The sequence below is a fragment of the Homo sapiens genome, chromosome 10, assembly GCF_000001405.40.
Source record: "Homo sapiens chromosome 10, GRCh38.p14 Primary Assembly".
Taxonomy (NCBI): Eukaryota; Metazoa; Chordata; class Mammalia; order Primates; family Hominidae; genus Homo; species Homo sapiens.
Window position 1 is genome coordinate 111,519,932 of NC_000010.11, and position 20,288 is coordinate 111,540,219.

Consider the following 20,288-nt stretch of genomic DNA (forward strand, 5'->3'; position numbering starts at 1 on the left):
CAGTTTTGTCTATTCTTTCAAAAGAGGCTTTTTGGACCACCTATCTTCAAATATTTTAAATCTTCATTGAATTCTGTCCTGAGACTCTCTGCTTACATGCCCTGACCTTCTTTTTTGATTTTCTTCCTCTGTTTTTATAGCTTTTCTGCTGATCACAGGGTTAAGTCTGTTAGACATTCTGAAGGTCTCTTCTTGGCAATATTCTCTCCAGGTGACACCCAAAACATCATTGTAAGCTCTACATGGCATTGGGGAAAGGTAGGATGAGGCCTAATCCAGGCTGTTTAATTTTCACCCATGGCCCACATTCTACCAGTGACAGGGCACAGGGCAAACCTCATAGAAGTAATCACTGCAACAGGGGCAGCTGCCCATATCCACTGTCCTCCACCCACACTGGTGATGCCCACCAGAGACTGGTGTGAATTCTGTGTGCATAGGGAGACAGGACCAAGAGAGCCAATTTCATTTGAACCCAGGGTGGAGACCAGGTGAATCTCAATTTTGAAAGGACTTTAAGGCAGTTTTTCTGGGCTCTGATTCTAATTTGCTAATTGGAAGCAATTCAGTAGGATGTAGCATTTCTGGTTTAAAAGATATACTCAGAAGAGGGGCTAGGATGTTTGTGTTTTGCGCCTTGAATATCTGTTTTCTCTGTTTATAGGATTTCTTTTTCCAATCATATTTTTCTCATAACACAAATGCAGTCTGATTTAGAAAGGAGGGGTCCTTATTTTAAAAACCCAAACTCACAAATAAGATAAAATTGTGAAGTTTTGATTTGCTTCTATATTTTATTCTAAATTTTAAAAAGGAACTTTTAAGGTTGCAAATTCTCTTTCTGGGCACCTTACTCCTTTTTGAAGTCTTATAGGAGTTAGGGTTGTGTGGAGGAAAGAGGGAGAGAGAAACTGAAATCTAAGGCTGTGGGTTGGAACCACAGCCAGCAGAAGCTCAAAATGAAGTTAAGGTGGAAGTGTGTCTGAATTTTAACTTAATGCAAAGGGAAAACACAGTGGATTCACAGGGAGAATTTAATACACATTCTTGTTAATCTTTCAAAGAGAGGCTGAAATTCATTCACTGATTCAAAAATAGGTATTGAATGTCAGCTATCTGTAACGTCCCCTTGAAGGTGTTAATGACCTGGCAATACATAAAACAGGCAAAACTCTACCCCCATCAAGTTTACATTCTAGGGTATATAGAGACACACACATATGAAAGGATCTACAAAAAACATCTATACACTTCAAAGAAGCAGCACAAGAAAGACTACCTGGTTCCCACTTTCCAAATGAGGACACAGAACGTTTACCTGAAAAGAACCTTCTGGTCCCTTCTCAGTCAAACCCTTCTGTACGTCCCCAGGCCCAAAGGTCATCCTGATGAGTGGAGGAATCATGCCCTTGCTCACCTTATAGTGTCACAACCTATACACCCAACATGTGATGTTATTTCATTTAGTTTTTCATTTTTCAGTATCACATAAAGGGACAGATGACTTGCATTCTCTTGTGACTTCTGTGGCTCTATATTATGTTTTGGGGTTGATCTTCAGAGATGCCTGCATTTGGAGTTCACACATTGTCCCTACTGGGTAGGATTACATGTATGACTATCCCACACTTTATGTGTCCATTCTATTTTTGATATATTTGGGTTGTTCCATGTAAAAAATATATCATGATCAAGCTTTGTTGATCATTCTTAAAACTGTCTCTCTCCAGGTTCTCATATGCAAGAGTTCCTGCAGGAATAGAATTTCTGGGTCTTTTTCCATCTACTTTCTAACTTTCTAGAGGACAGAACCTCTTCTCTCAGATGCCTTTTGTTGCCTTTTACAGAGTGGATGGTAAAAGTTGGTTTAAGGGACAAACTAAAAGGAACCTGGTTAATGGTGAATTTCATGAGTTTCTGATTCAATTTTGCTTTGGCAAGAAGAAATAAAATGCAAGTTTAGTCATCCATGGATTTCAATTTCTAAATAAGAGGAAAGATTTCTGAAGAAGAGAATATGAAAGGAACAGTTCTTCAAAATGGGTAGAATAAACCTAAGTCACTGTGGCATCACGAAAGAACATCAGGCTGCAAACTCCATGAAGGCTGGGACTAGGTGTTCTCACAGGTGGCAGCAATAATGAGAACAATGTCCATATCCAGTATGGGTTAGCAATTAAGGGGATGTGTAAGAGGCCTGCTCCCATGCCCACCGTGCAGTAAGAGATGTGTCCAGTCTTATTTCCTCCCCTGCATTTCAGCTCTTCCACTGACAAGCTCTGCTACCTTTAATGGCTTGCTTGGTCTCCCTGTAACTCAGTTTCTTCATCTGTGAAATCCCATTCATGAAAGCAATCCAAAGAGCCAGGTGTCACAGTTTAAAGAGGAAATGAAGTTCCAGCTATTTCAGAGTGATTGTCAGTGATGGGAAGCTGGGAGAATCAGCAAACCAGCAGAAGGAAAATGTATCTCTTGCTGACATGTCAGCATAGGCTGTGAGGACAGACAAGGGGCAGATCAACATACAGCATCAACCATCTTATCACTTATAGGCTACTTTAAAAAGATCTTCACATTTCTTTGAGTCAAGAACAGCCAGACCAAGTGGTTGTTTCCATCCTGGTGCCTGGATGGAGGGCCCCAGAGTCCCTTAGGCCTTGGGTACTGGGCTGAGATTTCTGGCAACAGCAGTGGTAACAGACTGCAGGTTTCAGGCAGCTCAGAGGCAACCTACGCTAAAACCATCAGTGTAGCCAGATAATAAGGAAGGGATTACATGGATTGATGAGGCCAAGGGAAGGATTCTGGCAGAACAAAGTGGGATCTAGAGGCCTTGCTAGGCCATGCAGAGAATTTCAAATTCATGATCCAGGTCAAATGGAGCTGCCAAGGTTTTCTGTTGCTATGGCTCCTGCCAGTAAAGAGGAATAACCCTGGCTTACTTGCTGCCTATGCCCAGTAGAGTAATCCATTCTGAGATGCAGCATCGATGAACTCCAAAGCCCCCATTGCCCTTGCAGAGAGAGGCCAGCAAATCCTTTCTTTTTCCAGGGGAATTGTGTCCCTGGCATCTCATGGTAGGTGCCATTCACTGACCAGGCTATCACGAGGGCTGTGTGTTGGCTCAGAGGATTCTTGCCCACTGGAAGCTCAGAGGATGGGTCAGAAAAGCACTCTTAGCCTCAGAATATCTTGGGAGCTTCACAGATGGGGCATCTTGGCCTTACAGTTGCTCTTTAGACATTGGCTTCATTTGGAATAAGCAACAGAAAAGCTTGGCTTTCAAAGGGCAGCCAAGACATGGCAGAGAGGCTCTCCAGATGGTGGCCGAACAATCAGCAGCAATCCCAGCATGGGCTCTGGTGGCTCAATTTGCTTAGATATACCAGATGACAAGGAACTAAGAACCCCAATCTTCTGTTGCCTGAGATCTCTGGAAAGTTTGGTAGGATAGAGAAGCTGCTGCTTCAGAGCTTTTTGAGGCTGCTATGGAGAGAATGGGTCAATGCTTCTTCAGATTGTTCAATGAAGTTTACATGCTATTTACAGGAAAAAAAAACATCTAAAAAGGTGAGAGGAAGCACTCTTGCTCTGCATCAAAGTCTCCTTGGCCTTCAGGCCTGCTATGGTATTTAGCTCTCTCACCCCCAGGCCTCCACAGGACTTGATGGTCCCAGTCTGGAACTGTTTTTCCCTAACCTCTCCTCAGCTGTGTGTCATTCTTGTGGACCTCAATACCCAAACTCCCAAACTTTTTTCCTCTGGGAAATGGTCCTCCAGCGTTGCCCTGAGGCCTCTCCTATAGGAGTAGGTAATACACACTTGGGATCTTTAGCTATGTGTGCCTGACCTAGGGAAGTGAGACATATAGGAGTAGGTAATACACACTTGGGATCTTTAGCTATGTGTGCCTGACCTAGGGAAGTGAGACAACAGCAGGGAGAAAGTGGGCCGTGATCCTGAGGATTAGAGAGTGGTGAGAATTCTCATTCTGCCACTTACTAACCATGCATTTTGGGCAAGTCACTGAACGATAAACAAGAAAAAGACTCAAGTGCTTCATTGATTATTGTGAGGATTTAAATATATTTTTTGGGGAGAAAATGGAAGGGAAGAGATGGGGAGAGAGAACAAGCTAAGCACAGTGCCTAAATGCCTACTGAGTAGTAAGTGCTTGATAAGAAGGAGCTGTTATTATTATGACAGGAAAATGCTCATGTGCACAAACACTTTTTTGTTGTTGTTACAAAATTTTAAATGATTTCAATAGAATGCTAGGTTAAAAGATCTGATCACAGATCATCAGATCCAGTCACGTTATGTTTTAAATTAGGAAAGTGAAACTAAGCCCCAGGAGAAGTGACCTCCCTGTGGTCACCTAGTCACCTAGGGGCAGAGCCACTGCTGAGAACTAGAGCTCCTGACCCCAACGCCCTGTCTCCCTGGCTGTTTGCCTCAGAAGGAGTCAAACAGACCTCATGGTATCACCTACCGTCTGGTAAATGAGAGTGGCTGGCAAGAGATCTCCTTACATTGAAGGGAACAGAAAATTGCTCAATTCATTTCCTTGTAGACAGTGGTGAAAATCTCATTCAGGAGAAAAATGGGAGTGTGTGGATGATCAATCGATGTCATCCCAATGTACCTAACAACCCTCAACAGACAGCCTTGGGGTAATGAGCTATCAGCTCTGTTGAGCTCTGGTTGTGCTGGACATCTTCTGTTTGTTGCTCCAGAACTGCTCTCAACCTTCTCCACCCTGCTCCCTGTCCTTGGAGGCTGACCAATGTGGACCATGCCAACAGGCTTCCTGGCCCCTGGGATCTGGTTTGGTTCAATCAAACAGGAGCCCTGGCAGGACATCAAAGAGAGGAAGGGAAATGAGAATGGAGAATTACATTCCTTTTCCCTCCCTGCGAGGTTACCTGTGGCTGGCCATGTCCCTCAACACAAGGTCATTGCCCCTCACATGAGAATCTGGGTGTTCTTGATGACTCTCTTCTTCAGGATTCCCACAACTCTTCCTCCCCTTGTCCTTTTGGGCTTAGGGGTGATGATGTCTCTGCTCTTATTAACCCTGGGATATTATCATCCCTTGCGGCTTCCCTATATGCTATCCACACCTTGTAAATAAACTATCCATGAATTATCCTGAGTATACTATCTGCTTACTTTTGGAATTCTGATTTATATACCAGTCATCAACTTATCTTAAACCAAGATCCAGCTATAGGCCCCCAGGAGATGACCTGTGTTGGCTAGGGAAAGAGTTCCATATCAAATAATCCTGTCTTTCTGAATATGCCCGCTTTCTTGCTATATCTCCCTTATTTAGCCCTTCTTAAGGACTTTGCTGATGGTGGCAATGGAGTCTGACTCTTCCATGTTGTGAGAGAAATTCATGTGTTATAAATGGCAGGTAAAGGTGAAAAGAGAGGGGCCTACCTCAGTCTCTATTTATCTCGTGAACTTTATGGGGCCTCTTTTGGTTTTCTGACCTAAGCTGAGCTTCAGAAAAGCAACCTGAAAAGCCATTGATTGTAGTAGTTTTATAACTAATTCTAACCCTAAATCCATTTTCAATAGTTACGAAAACTGACTTCTTGAGATATGGAGATAGGATTAGTTGAAATATAAACCCTTATTAGAGTTTATGGTAAGTCTAGGAGCCAATCTCATGTTTACAATCCTTGAAATTTTCTTACTCTACATTTTCCTGTTTTGTCTTACAATAAAAATTAGATAGTAAGCTCTCTGGGGACAGAAAATATATTTTTGTAAAATTAATTTTTTTAAATTTACAGTCACTAAAGTCAGGCACTAAACTGGACATGGAAGATGCAATGGTTACTAAGAAAGATGTGATCACTGTAATCAAAGAACATATGGTGTAGCCCTGGGTAAATTATGGCTGCAAGCCAACTGCCTGTTTTGTCAATAAAGTTTAATTGGAACACAGACATGACCATTTGTTTATATAATTTGCTTTCTGGCTACAAGGCCAAGTTGAGTAGTTGCAACAGAGATTTACTATCTGTAATATTTACTACCTAACCCTTCACAGCAAGTTTGCTGACTCCTGGTCTAGGCATATGCCTTCCCATTACCTGGCACAGCACTAGGGACAATTTTTTTTTTTCTACAAACAGATTATATTTTCTACAGTTTTACAGTTAGATCAACAGATTATTTGCAGCTGAAAAGTATCATCACTCTCCTGTTAGTAGGAGACAATCGTTAGTGGATTATTTTTAATCTTTACATCTTAAATAATTTGCTGAAATTTCTGGATGCTGTTGACATAAAAACAATTTTTTTCTTGTTTTTTTGGTGGATCAGTGTGAATTCAATACACCTGTGCAACTGTGCAGAAGTTTCAAAGGGGGAAATATTCTGATGCAGAGGGTAGAAGGAAAGGATTGAATAGAACCTTGATTGCTCCCATTCCAGGATGTGTCATCTGGTTTTCTGCTGCTCTTAGCCTTCTCTAAATGCACTTCTGCTGTGAATTTCTTTCTAACTTTTTGCTCATAAATGTGTGAAGAAAATCAATAGGCTCAGAAATCTGTTTTAACCATTTCCCTCTTGGTATTTAACAGCAAGTGGGTAGGGCAACATTGTAAATATTCTAGGGAAGAGAAAAAAGTTGACAATTGCTACTTTGGTTTACTCAGTGTCTAAAGCTGGCTTATATGTACTCTTTTGGGCCACAAATGCAAAATATTGTGAATAGAAATCACTCCAATCAAGGGTAGCCTTATAATCTTTGGTTATCTCAGTTTATTTGCGTGATCCATTCAATGTGGAAGAAATTCACAAAGGCCCTATGTTCTAGGCACTGTGATCATCCTAAGAACATGTAGCAATGATGTAGCCCACAATACCTTATTCAGAGGATTTACAATCTATCTAGTAGAGAAGGGTAAAAAAAGGGCTACATATATATAAAACAGCAGTGTGATTTAATTGCCATACATAGTTTAAGAGGACTGAAAGGTCCAGAGGAAGACAGAATTAATGAGAGATGGAAATAATGCAGGAAATGTTTTGGTATTGGACTAAGGCCTTGGAATAAGAAGAGAGGAGGATATTCCAGGAGATGTTAACAGTATAAGCAAAGGTAAGGACTTAGGTTGTGCAATTACATGTGGGTGGATTATGGAAAACCCACTGCTTGGTAAAGAGGTAGGAAAAGTCATCCAGGATCTTAAACATTCGTGTAAAAAGTCTGGACTTAAGTTTGTAGGCAATAGGGAATCATTATATTTCTGAGGACAGGATTGGCATGCTTGAAGCTTCTCTGTAAGACTGTGATGGTAGCTATCACAATGATATAATTGATTGGGGGATGAGAAATTGGAGGTGTGGAGGCCACTTAGATGGGGATACTCCAGGTGAGGCTAAATACTTACAATACTCCAGGTGGAGGTAAACGTGGTTATAGGCATGGACTTCCTATGGAGATACATGAGGCAGGCTTGGCACTTGTCAGAATATGAGTGAAAAGGAGATGATGGAGATGATGGTGACTTAGTGTCTAATTATGAAGCAAGGGCTTCAATATAGAGAGAAATGCAATAGTACGTATCCCAATTCTGATTGCAGCCAAGATGGACCTACTAATCATGTTGCATCAGTCCAAAACAAAACATATTTCTAGACCTTCTATACTGATCTATGTCTGTTAGGCCCCAACTTAAGAATGCCCCTCCTCCAAGGATAATTTTTCAGACATGGAAACAGGTCTTGTTTATATTTGTGAATCAATTACAATGTGAGAAATTGTAGAAAAATTGTAGGAAAAAGCCAGTATCTTTTATGCTTTTGTTATTCACTAAATATTCTAGTACAGTACTAGGCATACAGTAAGTGATGATACTATACGAGTGCAGAATAATTTATCCTGATAGACAACCTCTGAAACATTAGGTCATGCACACATCAAAGCTAACTGCCTGGAATGATGAGCTCTGGACAGAAGAGGTCCTAACCAGATATCCATTAGGTCCATCCAGATGTATGTCAGGAGAGTTATTTTAAAAGGCCCCAAATTAAGAGTCATTACAATAGTAAAGAGTGATTTTCAGGGGACTAGGAATGGTGCTGCCTAGATGGGCTGTTGCAATGATGACTTTCAGGCATTTTGGGCAGGAGTGAATATGTTGGGCAGAGTTGCATGATGACAGAATTGAGACAGAATTGACACATATAAGACCAATAAGACCAATTCTGGTTGATTTTAATCAAAGGGGAGGAATTTTTATGTCCTTGGGTTAATGGGAGAACAATGTGGAACATTAAAGAGTGATAGAAAATGTTAACTAGGGCTCTTTTCTCAAGATGCTCTTGGGGGCTCCTTAAAAGATTGTGACTGAGGATGAGGAAACCTTCCACAATTAAGTCTTTTCCAACACTGTCTGTGAGATTGAAGCTGCTTCACACACATACAAAAGTTTGCTTTCACTTGTGGGATACAAACTATATAAACACTTACGTCCCTTCAGCACACATATCACTTAATGTTAAAATATTAGAAGCATTCCTATTAAAATCCAGAGCAAGAGAATTATGGCCGTTATGATCGCTACTATTCAACATAATAATGGAGGTCCTAGATAGTGCAATAAGATATGGAAAATAAGTAATGGCCACTAACAAGAAAGAGATACTGTCAATATCATTTGGATTTATATAAAAAATCTAAGTAGTTTGTCAGGCAGTCTTCCTTGAATTTCCTATTTGAACTCTTAAGAAAATTCAGCAACATGGCAGATTCTATCTTCCTATCTATCATCTATCTATCTATACAACAGTGATAGCTATAAAATGTTCTAATATGAATATGAAGAAAACCATAACATTTACTGAGAGGTGTAAAATAAGTATGGTATATTTATGGTTGAGAAGACTCAATAAATCCTTCATAAATCTAAGTTCAGTGCAATCCTAATCAAATTTCTATGGAACCTATCAAATTGATTCTCAAATTGTTACAGAATAGAAAATATATAAGAAAAATCAATTTTTAGAAAAAATGATGGGGACATGTCTTATTAGGCAACAAAATATACTAGAAAGCTATAGTGATGAATAGGACATGAATAGGAAATAAAATAGTTAAAAAAAAATCAGTAGAAGTCAGAAGAATCTGAAGATAAACCAGATATAAATGCACATGAGAAATAACATTTTCTGTAATTGAAGAACGAGCTGGAGGCAACTGGGTAGCCATCTGAGAAAAAAAATTAAGTTAGATCCATATTTAAAACAGTCTACAAAATAAATTCCAGATAAGGTAAAGATAAAACCACTTATTTTTTAAAGGTGAAAAGCATTATTATAAAATAAGAAAATATAGAAAAAAATTAGAAATAAATATTGGAGCAGGAAGATTTTAAGTTAGACAAAGAAGTTGATTAATTTGACTCTATATAAATTATCTGACAAAAGATATCAAGTTTAAAGGCAATAACATATGTTGCAACTATTTTCTTTCACTCTAGTAGATTGAAATATTTAGTTTCCGTTATCAATAAGGAAAAAGATAGAGAAAGGAATATGAGCAGGCTATTTACAGAATAAGAAATGCAAATGGCCAATAACATATAAAAAGATGCAAAACTTCACTAATAATCAGAGAAATATAAAATAAACAGTGAAAAATCAGTTTTTCCCCCATAAATATGGAAGATGGGGAAGAAGAAGAAGGAAAATGAAAGATGATGATGATGAAAGGTTCTATTTACTGTTGGTGCTGATATTGATAACAGGCTCTTCTGGCAAAAAATTTCAATGTTTATCAAAATGTGGTATGCATAGCCTCTTACTTAGCAATTCTTAATATAAGCATTTTTCCTAAAAAGTATTTCCATGTGTACAGAAAGAATAATCATTGCAATGTTGCATGTTATAGTGACAAACTGAACACAACAAAATGTCTGTTAGTAAGGTACAGTTAAATGAAATATACCACATCTATACTATGAAATATTATGCAACAATGAAAAAGAATGAGATAATCTGTATTCATTAAAATAGAAAGATCTCTAAGATATATTTCATTTGTAAAAAAAAAAGCGATTTGCAAAACAATATTCGATATAATCCCATTTGTGTAAAACAAGCAAACAAAACAAAAATATATAATTCTAAATTTAAACACATATATAGAACAAAATCCAGACATATGTATAGCAAACTGCATAGAGTTGTTATATCTAGAGAGCACTGTGAAATTTGTGTGGCAAAAGGGATCTTTCTTGTAGGATGATTTGTTTGAATTTGTATAAGAATGTACAAATTAATTATATCCTTAAAAATAATAAATATAACTAAAAAATGAAAACAAACCAAAATTCAAGCACATAGGATTATGGCTCATGCTTAAAGGAGTTTGATCTAAGTATTTTTTTTTTTACATTATGTAATTGTACATTCCTCCTTCCCAGTGGACTTCTTATTTCCCTTTTAGGATTTATCCTTGGAAATGTCAATGCCAGAGACCCATCCGTTAGCTAATTAGGCACATTTCTGAGTATACAATTACTTTTAGGCATAGCAGATGTTGCATCTCATGTCCAAACCTTGGCTAATGTGTAGATCATTAACTCGGGTCTGACTCACATTAAATTTTGTGAAGATATGAGGGCCTCTTCTTTTATTTGTTTAATAAAGAGCTAAAAATTTCAGCTCCTTAGTGATGTAAATTTATTAGCTTGCATTAGCATTTCTCTAGATTTTTACATTATCCTGAGTTCTCTATATAATATTGATCATATCACTGACTAGAATCCAGGCTTTAGCCATAAACAGATAAGAATTGGACTTTCAATCATATAATCAAACAAAGCTAGAATGGATATACAAATAAAACTATTTTTGCTTAGCATTCCATTTTTCTCTGCAAAACAGGAAAGTTGTGAAAAATCAATCACGGCACAGTTTTGCTGAAGGGAATGCTATTTTTATAATGATGTCTAGTTTCAAACATCTTGTTGGGTCACCTTCTAATTTCCATTTCTATGGACTTCTTCATCAGAACTAGTAAACAGGGCACCAACTATGTTGAGGCCTTTGCTTTAGATAAATCTGGATTTTGAATTTTAAAACAAAGGAAAAGAAGGTCAAGCCAACTGCTTGAATGTGCCACTTTCCTGTGCCTGGCACTGGCTTCCACCAGTTGTCTTGTTCAACAAATACCAGTGAGCACCTACTAGGTCCCAGGCAGAACACTAGGACCTGGGATATAGAAATCGGTCCAACAAAATCTTCCCCTTGTGCTGCTCACAGCCTTGTCATCACAAAGATCGATTAGAGAGAGGATGACTGAGCTGCATGGACCACTCTACTCACTCAACCCTTATGTGTTTTAAGGTCTTTGGTGTGGGGCACTGTGCTCACCCTGGGGACACAGCAGCATCCTACAAGACTCTCTTGCCCCTTTTGGACTTACAGTCTGCAGGGGATAAAAGACAAAATGTGAAACATGTTGTGATGGCAATAGAAATATGGCAACCTAGGAGGGACCTACTAGGCTTAGCAAATCTGTCCCTGAGGGGATCAGAAAAGGCTTCTTTGAGAACAGGGTTTTAAGCCATGTGATGCTTGCAGGATGAGTAAAAGTTTGTAACTAAGGGATGAGGGGTAGAAGAATTATAAATGGGATAAGCCTATGCCAGATACGGTGATGGGTACCTGGGGTCCCAGCCTACAAAGGGCTTACTTTCCTGTCTCCGTCTCTTCCTCAACCTGCTTAGAATCCTACAGGATCTCCTCTCCCTTCACCTCAAGCCATGACCCCTGACTCTTAAACCCAATCCACACAGGCCCCCTCAACCCCTAGTGCAGCAACAGCCCCTGGATGCTCTTCTTGGTCTCCCCATTTCTACTCTGAGTGACTCCATCCTCCTCCCTCACCCTATCACCATCCAAATGACAGCAAAGTAACTGACATCACTGCATTTGGGCAGTTCCTCTTTTTCAGCTGTCCTTTTACGTGCAAAACCATGGCCTTGTAAAAAAGTACAGGGTACTGATCTTCTTGAGGTTGCCCTGGGACTCTAAATCATCCTAATATCCCCACTTGCTGTCCTTGCTTTCAGTAATAACGAGTCAGGAAAACACACCCTCAGTGTACTTTTTTCTCCTGTGGTCTAATTAATAGACACTTTCCAATTTGCAAATGAATTTGGTATAATCTGCACTTCTTAAGGGCTTCACATCACTGGGGAAAGCTTCTGCGTTTATTGTAATAAACTGTCATAGTGAATAGCATTTATTATAAGTTTCCCAGAATCTCTAAATGATGAGCAGACCTCCCAGCTACCTCTGCCACCCTCACTCCCTCCCCTAATTAAAAGCATATAGATGTGTGTATAGATGCGAGGATTTGGTACCTGCTTTATAATTATCCAGGAACATGACTCAGCTATTTTGGAAGCTATTTTGGAATCCCACGGGGGAGGGATTGGAGGGTATGCAGAGTAGAAGATTTGCCCTTGTCAGAGAAAGAGAGGAGAGAGAAGAGGGGATAGGAATCTCTGATCTCTCCTTCCTCTGAATACTAGGAACTCACTGGGCAATTGTTTTGTGTAGTTTTTTTTTTTTTTCTTTTGTGTCTAGTAAACATTAAGCTCTTACAGGTTGGTGGTAGTACTGTATACCCCCAAGTTGTGCCCAAATCATATCAAGCATAAAGCCTCGCAAATAGTGTACTAGTGAACAATTGTTGTCCATGATGTTAGGAAAAGTAAAGAGAAAATTCTTAAGTAAAAGAGGCAGAAGTATATGTGGAAGGGAAAGTCAAGGACTGGCGCTGACAACTTATATCTTCCAAAATGTGTCAGAATATTTCTGTTTAAAATAAATAGTTAGGCTGGGTACAGTGGCTCATGCCTGTAATCCCAGCACTTTGGGAGGCCGAGGCAGGCAGATCACAAGGTCAATAGATTGAGACCATCCTGGCCAACATGGTGAAACCCCATCTCTACTAAAAATGCAAAAATTAGCTGGGCATGGTGGCGTGTGCCTGTAGTCCCAGCTACTCAGGAGGCTGAGGCAGGAGAATCCTTGAACCTGGGAGGTGAAGGTTGCAGTGAGCCAAGATCGCACCACACTGTACTCCAGCCTGGCAACAGAGTGAGACTCCGTCTCAAAAAATAAATAAATAAAAAAAAAATAATAAAAATAAATAGTTAATATTTTTCACCTGTAATTTAACAAAGGGAAAAGGTAGGGAGATATTAACCTAAATGTTGATGTGGACAGAAGCACTATGGGATAGGCACTCTGACTCCCAACTGTGAGCACACATGGATATTATTTAACTTTATTTTAGGTTCGGAGGGTACATATGCAGGTTTGTTACATGGGTAAATTGTCCCTGAAGTTTGGTGTATAAATGATCCTGTCACCCAGGTAGTGAGCATAATACCCAATAGGTAGATTTTCAACCCTCACCTCCCTCTAGAAGTCCCCAGTACCTATTGTTCCTATCTTTATGACTGTGTGTAGTCAATGTTTAGCTCTCACTTATAAGTGAGAATATGCAGTGTTTGCTGTTCTGTTCCTGTGTTAGTTTTCTTAGAATAATGGCCTCTAGGTGCATCCATGTGGCTGCAAAGGAAATAATTTTGTTCTTTTTTATGGCTGCATAGTATTCCATACTGTATATGTACCACGTTTTCTTTATCCAGTCCACTGGTGATGGGCACCTACCTAGGTTGATTCCATGTCTTGCTGTTGTAACACTGCTTTAGGGGAGGGGGAGGTAGAGAATGGCAATTAAATCATATTAAATTGTTTATGTTCTTTGACCTAGGAATTCCATTTCTAAGATTTATGCTAAGGAAATATTTATTTAATATTAGTAGTGAGAAAGTATGAGCAGTCATAAAATATTTTTTCTCAATATTATTTGTAACAGACAAAATTAGAAACAACCTAAATGTCCAACTGTGTGGGAATAAACCAGGGAATATCCACTTGATTATAAATTGTGTAGCAGAGAGGGATTAATAGCCCCCACGGAGGAGGGATTCCACAACCACCCATTCTAGATTACATGGCCTGAGTAGAGTTGCTTTCCTGCTTATGTTTATCTGTAAAACGGGTATAAAAACTGTTGCCTCATAAGGTCATCATGGTATCTACTGAAGGCTAGCACTGTGGCTGAAATATGGTGGACATTTAATATATGAGAGCTACTACTATAGAGCTACTAAATATTCATGAAATCTGTGTGAAAACAAGGAGAAAGGCTTATGCTATCTTAAAGGTAAAACAACATAGCATTTCACATTAAAAAAATAACAATTTTAAGTAGAAAAAAGACTTAAGAATATACGAGAAAATTGTCAAGTGAAAACATATTAGAGTAATTTGAGTTTGTGTTCTGCATTTTTTCTGGCATTTTTTTCATAAGTATACATAATTTTTAAAATATGGAAAAACTTCTTATGGATAATAATCCATTTCTACATTTTCTTACCCTTATAACCAGTGATATTTCTAGGTATCTATTAAATTAGCACTACTAGTAGAAAGAAAACACATACAGTGGGGATCTAATATGGGTGGTGGGTATGAATATAAAGGAGGAAGCTGAGGCAAAATTACCATAGAGAGTTTGTTTGGGTCAAGTTTGAGGATAGCTGTTTAGGACACACAAGTTGCCAAAGGAGAGGCTCAAGTTTTTAAAGAAGTGACAAGTCAGGAAAGGGTTAATTACAAAATCCATAAAAGTTGTCCACAAGGTTTTATCATTGGTTTACAGAAATAACATTGATTAGCAATGAACTATACATTGTTGAACTATAGGGTAAGAGTTATGGGGTCCAGTGTATGGCATTTTATGGCTATTTGGCATCAGTTAGTCTAGACCCCACATAGCAAGTGGCTTCAAGAGGTAACGGTTTTTCACAAGCCAGGATTGATGTGACTGTTATTTTTCACTCCAATGCCTCTCTGGGCCTGGTAATTTAAAGAGGCTTGTGTTCCTTATATAAAAAGTGTTTTTTCTTTCTCATAGACAAGCACAGAACTGAGAGTTGAGAGACTTGTGTCTTTTCCCGCTTTATGACCTTGGGAAAGTGACCTTGTGATGGTTACTGGCTTTCTCTGACCTCTGTTTCTGGAAATGAGAATAACAATACTTGAGTGATTGTCTCACAACTATGAGAATATTATGTAAGACTGAAGAAAGACTTTAAAAAATGGGAAATGAATGACAAATGTTCATTACCTTTCTATTATAGGCTTTATCTCTTCAAAGATTGAATCCTGCCCTTTATCACTTGTTCTGTGAAAAAGCCAACTGGGTTGGAAACCAAGATTCATCATGAGCCACATCCACTTTTATCCTTATTTCATTTCTTGTCTCTATGCCTTATAAAGAAAATCAATACATGGATCTTACATAGCATTTGTTTTCTTTTTTTCTTCTTTCTCAATGAATTTCAACCAGAAACATCTGCTGTCAGATTAGGAGTGACTAAATTTGATGTGACTTTCTCAGTTTAGATATTTAGGATCATCAGCTCTTGCTTTTACCCATTTGCTGCCAGTTGGTCTTACAAACCAAAATAAAGGGGCAGAAAGAGGGAAGAATGTCAAATACCCCAACAGCCAAAGGAAGACAGTACTCATGAGCTCAGACCTGCTCAGTCAAGAAATTGCATTTACGATGTGGGTAAAGTAGTAAATAGCACATTCCATGATGTTATGGTCATTTTCAGATGTTAGCCTATCCTTCCATGCTGAAACCTAGCAAATAAGAAGTCTTGAAGTGTTGGTCATCTCTAGTAGCCAGAAATATAGATCTTTACCCATAAGAAAACATTTATTTTTCTTTTTTAAAAGACTTCTTGGCCGGACGCGGTGGCTCATGCCTGTAATCCCAGCACTTTGGGAGGCCGAGGCAGGCGGATCATGAGGTCAGGAGATTGAGAGCATCCTGGGTAACAAGGTGAAACCCCGTCTCTACTAAAAATACAAAAAATTAGCCGGGCGTGCTGGCGGGCGCCTGTAGTCCCAGCTACTCGGGAGGCTAAGGCAGGAGAATGGCGTGAACCCCAGAGGCAGAGCTTGCAGTGAACGGAGATCGCACCACTGCACTCCAGCCTGGGTGACAGAGCAAGACTCCGTCTCAAAGAAAAAAAAACTTCTTACTGCCACCTCAATATACCACACTTTTGAAGACCCTGAGTATTACATTTCTATTTTCTTTGCTTGGCACACCTTTCCCCCTTCCTACATCTGCTTACATAAATTCCTACTCTTTATCCAGGTGAATCCATTGATGTTGGTTTCTCCTGAAGTCATATCTGAGTTCTTTATGTCTTTGACTCCTCAAACGATACACAAAGTCTAATCTTTTCTAACTTGTATGCAGTGAGCAAGTCTAACTTTTAAAAAACAGAAAAATTCATTATATTAAAAAGTAATTGCATATATATACATAAATTTAATACTTATATATGAATTATCCCTATGTACTTTTGTATATGACATTCAAATTTCTCTAAATTATTACTTAGAAAAGAGGCAGTTATTTCATATTTGAGTCCTTATGAAGGTCTCTCATGTTAAGAGACCTGTCCTTCTCCCAGGCATTTTATTTTGAATAATAAAGGATTGTTTAGGGGAAGATAGTGGCTCTCGACCTTGGTTGCACAATGGGATCACCTAGAGAACTTAAAAATCTTCCAATGCCTGGACTGTATCCCAGATCATTAAATCAGAATCTCTGGGAGTGTATCCAGGCATCAATGTGTTTTAAATACACTCTAGGTGATTCCAATGTACACCTAGAACTGAGAATCACTGTGTTAACATGAAACAACCTTAATCAAAGCTAGATAATTTCATCTGACAGAAGCAGGAATTAAGCACAGCTTTAGTGAGTATTTCTGGGTGCAAAGACTTCACCATTGCAAATGATGAATATCATTATTTTAAAAAATTAAAAGTCATTTTTAAAAGGATAAATAGTCACTATAAGCTGCAAGAGTCTCAAATACGTATCTACAGGATAAATGAGAAACATATTCTTATATTATGCTAGTGAGTTCTAGTGGCATGGAATAAAATTTCCAGTGACAGAACTGTGCCCGAAATAAAAAAGTGTTACAGTTGAAACAACTTAGCCGTGAATATGGTGTGTAAGAAAACCTTGTCAGATGATTCAAGAAGGGAGCCTAGTGATGATTAAGACACTGACGTCAAAGTCCCATATGAAAAGTTTGAATAAAATTGTTCTGTAAAATGAGTGTAGAAAAAGTAATATTTCCAGATCAATATATTAGAGAACACTTAATTCAAATATATGTTATAGTTAAATTAAGAAATAAGATATTGATCATTTAAACCACATCTCTAAGCATTTATAGATCAAAATTGAACACAAACATTCAAGTCAGTGGGAAAATACCTTGTATTTGGGGGACCCTTTACTTGGTTGCATTTATGTTATTTTTCTGCTTTCACTTGCTAAAATTAAGCTCTTTAAGGACAGAGGCTATCTCTTATTGACTTGTTTTTAAAACATACTCAAATGTAGATTCAGGTTTTGTGGGATCAGAAGCACGTACAATTTGGGAAGCCCATTTAATACAGAAGAACACAGAATGAGCATAGGACATTATTAGGGCCCCTCCCAATGCCATCAAGTGCAGGGCTCTGAGGCTTAAGCCTCGTGAGGTTCATGGAAATTCACTTCCACACACACTGTAGTGCCTAGCACCAGTGGCTGGATAAGACGCTGATATATCTTAAGTTGCATTGCTTTCCTTAAATGAATAGCCTGAACAATCCTAAAATGATTTGGAGCATCCTTGATTGATCTCCATTTTCTAAGAAAGCAGGGACAATTTCCTGTTTTGGAGTAGAGCAGAAGAAGGCAAAGATGCATTCAGTGTAGTTAATGAAAATTGAGCTAGGGCAAATGAAAACCCCACATCTGAGGGACAGACGTGGCAAAGCACGTTTGGGCCATGGAGCTCCTGAAGTGGAGGTGGGGAGGTATGAAGCATCTGGTGGTACACAAATAGTGTGGTCTAGCAGAGATTTTTCCTGTCCAGAGATTCCTATTTCCTGTAGAGTGAAAAGGACCTATTTAAAAACAGTTTCAGACTCTTACTGTTTGGACCACTGACTTCCACGTGGGCTCTTTGCAGGCAGGGGCATCTGCTCATTCAGCTTGGTATCCCCAGTACATGTCTCTCACTGCCTAGCTGGCATCAAAATGCTTACTGAATTTGTACAGAAACTTTAATGTAGTCAGTGACGATGGCATCAGTATGGACAATCAGCTTCCGCATTTCAACAGGGCACATGAAATTAATAGTTCGGTATTAATTTCCTTATTCTCTCTTCAACCCAGAATTCCACTGAGGAAGCTGTTGTGGCAGGGAGATAGCCTGCAACTGAGGTGCCCAGGTAAGATTCTAGCCAGATTCCAAACTCAGAAATATTCAGTCCTCCTACATTCTGGGGGAAGAATTGGCTGAAACTTCAAGAAAATTCTTTCATTTGACGATTTGACACTTGGAGTCTCTTGGTTTTGGGTAGAGCTTGAAATCTCTGACTCAATAAACTGGAAGCCTGAAAAGAGGAAAACGTACCATTCTTCTATACTTATTAGAAGTTGACCCAAAGTTAGTACCTGAAGCCACTTAAAGGTGACTAAGGATTCACTCTGAAGATGAAAGTGACTGAAATGATGAGCTGGTACAGACCCACGCAGTCCTGGAAAAAGGAAATGGGGCAGCTGAGAAGCAGCAGCCCTGGAAGAAAGAAAGATCAAAACACACTTCATGGAGAGCCGCAGGAAACACTGATGACATCAGATCCTAGGAGCCCTCTCGACATTTCCCAGCGGTCTTGAAGCCAATACATAGCATCCTCTTGGAAGCGAACCTTTTGAGAACATCAGAATGAAAAGAACACAAGAACACGAGTGTCCTCTATGCTGAGGACACAGAAAGGCTTTAGGGAGAGCCAGGATACAGCACTTAAACCAAGATGGCCATTCTGGTGCATGCACAGAGAGCAATGGCAGCTTAGGTTGGGGGTAGCGGGTGGGGCATGGGATGAGATTTGGGTTCTACTTCAGTTCTAGGTGCTATGAAGTCTTAGAATGATTTCTTTTTAAATAACTGTCTAGCAAGGACTGGTTTAGGGGGAACTCCCATGGTCTCCTCCTTGGAGGTGAAGTAAAACAAGAAAAAGTCAAGCCCTAGAGAATTCACATATATTTAACTCATCTGATCCACTGGGAAACCCTTGATCAATTCTGTAATCTTGCTACCATAGAACTTCAATGACAGTGTCAGCTGCTTCAAAACCCTTAGTGACATTTCCTGGAAACAGACTTCATTCTGTGTTCAGCTTTCACTTGACACATTTCAGGCCTGATGATTTTAAATGAGGGAGAAAAAAAACGTTGTTAAATATTACTGCAAAATTTTACTTGGCTTAATGGCCAATAAAATAACACAGTGTGTTCAGGTGGCTCAGCCTTCCGGTTTGACCATCTGGCCTGATGAATATGCCCAATTTCTCTTATCTTTTGCTGGCTTTCCCTCCATTGCCTATTTGAGTTCTTGGTCCTCAGCATAATTGGCTCCTGAGACCTTCTTAAAGGGCATGTCCTGACACAGATCTAACAATACTTTAATAAGGTTTAAAAAGAGTTTAATAGAGTTTAATAAAGAAAACCCATGATAGAAGAAACTCCAGTCAGTCAAGAGTGCCAGCCTTCCTCGCGTGGCTTAAAAATACACCTTAAGAACATTGGTATTTCTTATTCAAACAAAATGCTCAAAGGGAATAGCCACTCATTCCTTCTCCTACAACATTCTGGATTTAGCATTTAGGAAGGAGCAGGGACCTTTCAAGAAAGAGAGGCCTGAACCATTTAAAAATCGAGAAAAAGTTGCAGAAATGGTAAGTCTGGCCTGCTTAGACTGATGGAATCTTAGAATTTCCACAGAAGACTGACAACTGAAAAGACAATGAGTCACACTATCTAGAACATTTCTAGACCATCTTGCCCCACAGGACAAGGCAAACAAATATAGAAACACGGTCACCTTGTGAGTTCAAGCCAAAAATACTTCCCAATTTTCCCATGATAAAAACACTTTCCCATTTAATTTTATGACATTTTAGAGTTTATGTAAAAACAATCTGAAGAAGTAGATTTAGCATACGCATAACAATTTTTTATCTTCACTTGGCTATGGTAAAGTAATTGTTAAGAGTAATTGTTACAAAACCGTTTTCAGGCA

At 39.0% G+C, this 20,288-nt stretch overlaps 1 annotated feature.

The window, feature by feature from the left end:
* Positions 18,254-19,453: an enhancer, noted in NCBI's record as "CDK7 strongly-dependent group 2 enhancer chr10:113297943-113299142 (GRCh37/hg19 assembly coordinates)". NCBI's record gives its function as "activates an origin of replication core promoter dependent on BRD2, BRD4, P300/CBP, MED14 and CDK7 cofactors, with strong dependence on CDK7, by STARR-seq in HCT116 cells {active_cell/tissue: HCT116}" and the evidence as "EXISTENCE:reporter gene assay evidence [ECO:0000049][PMID:35650434]".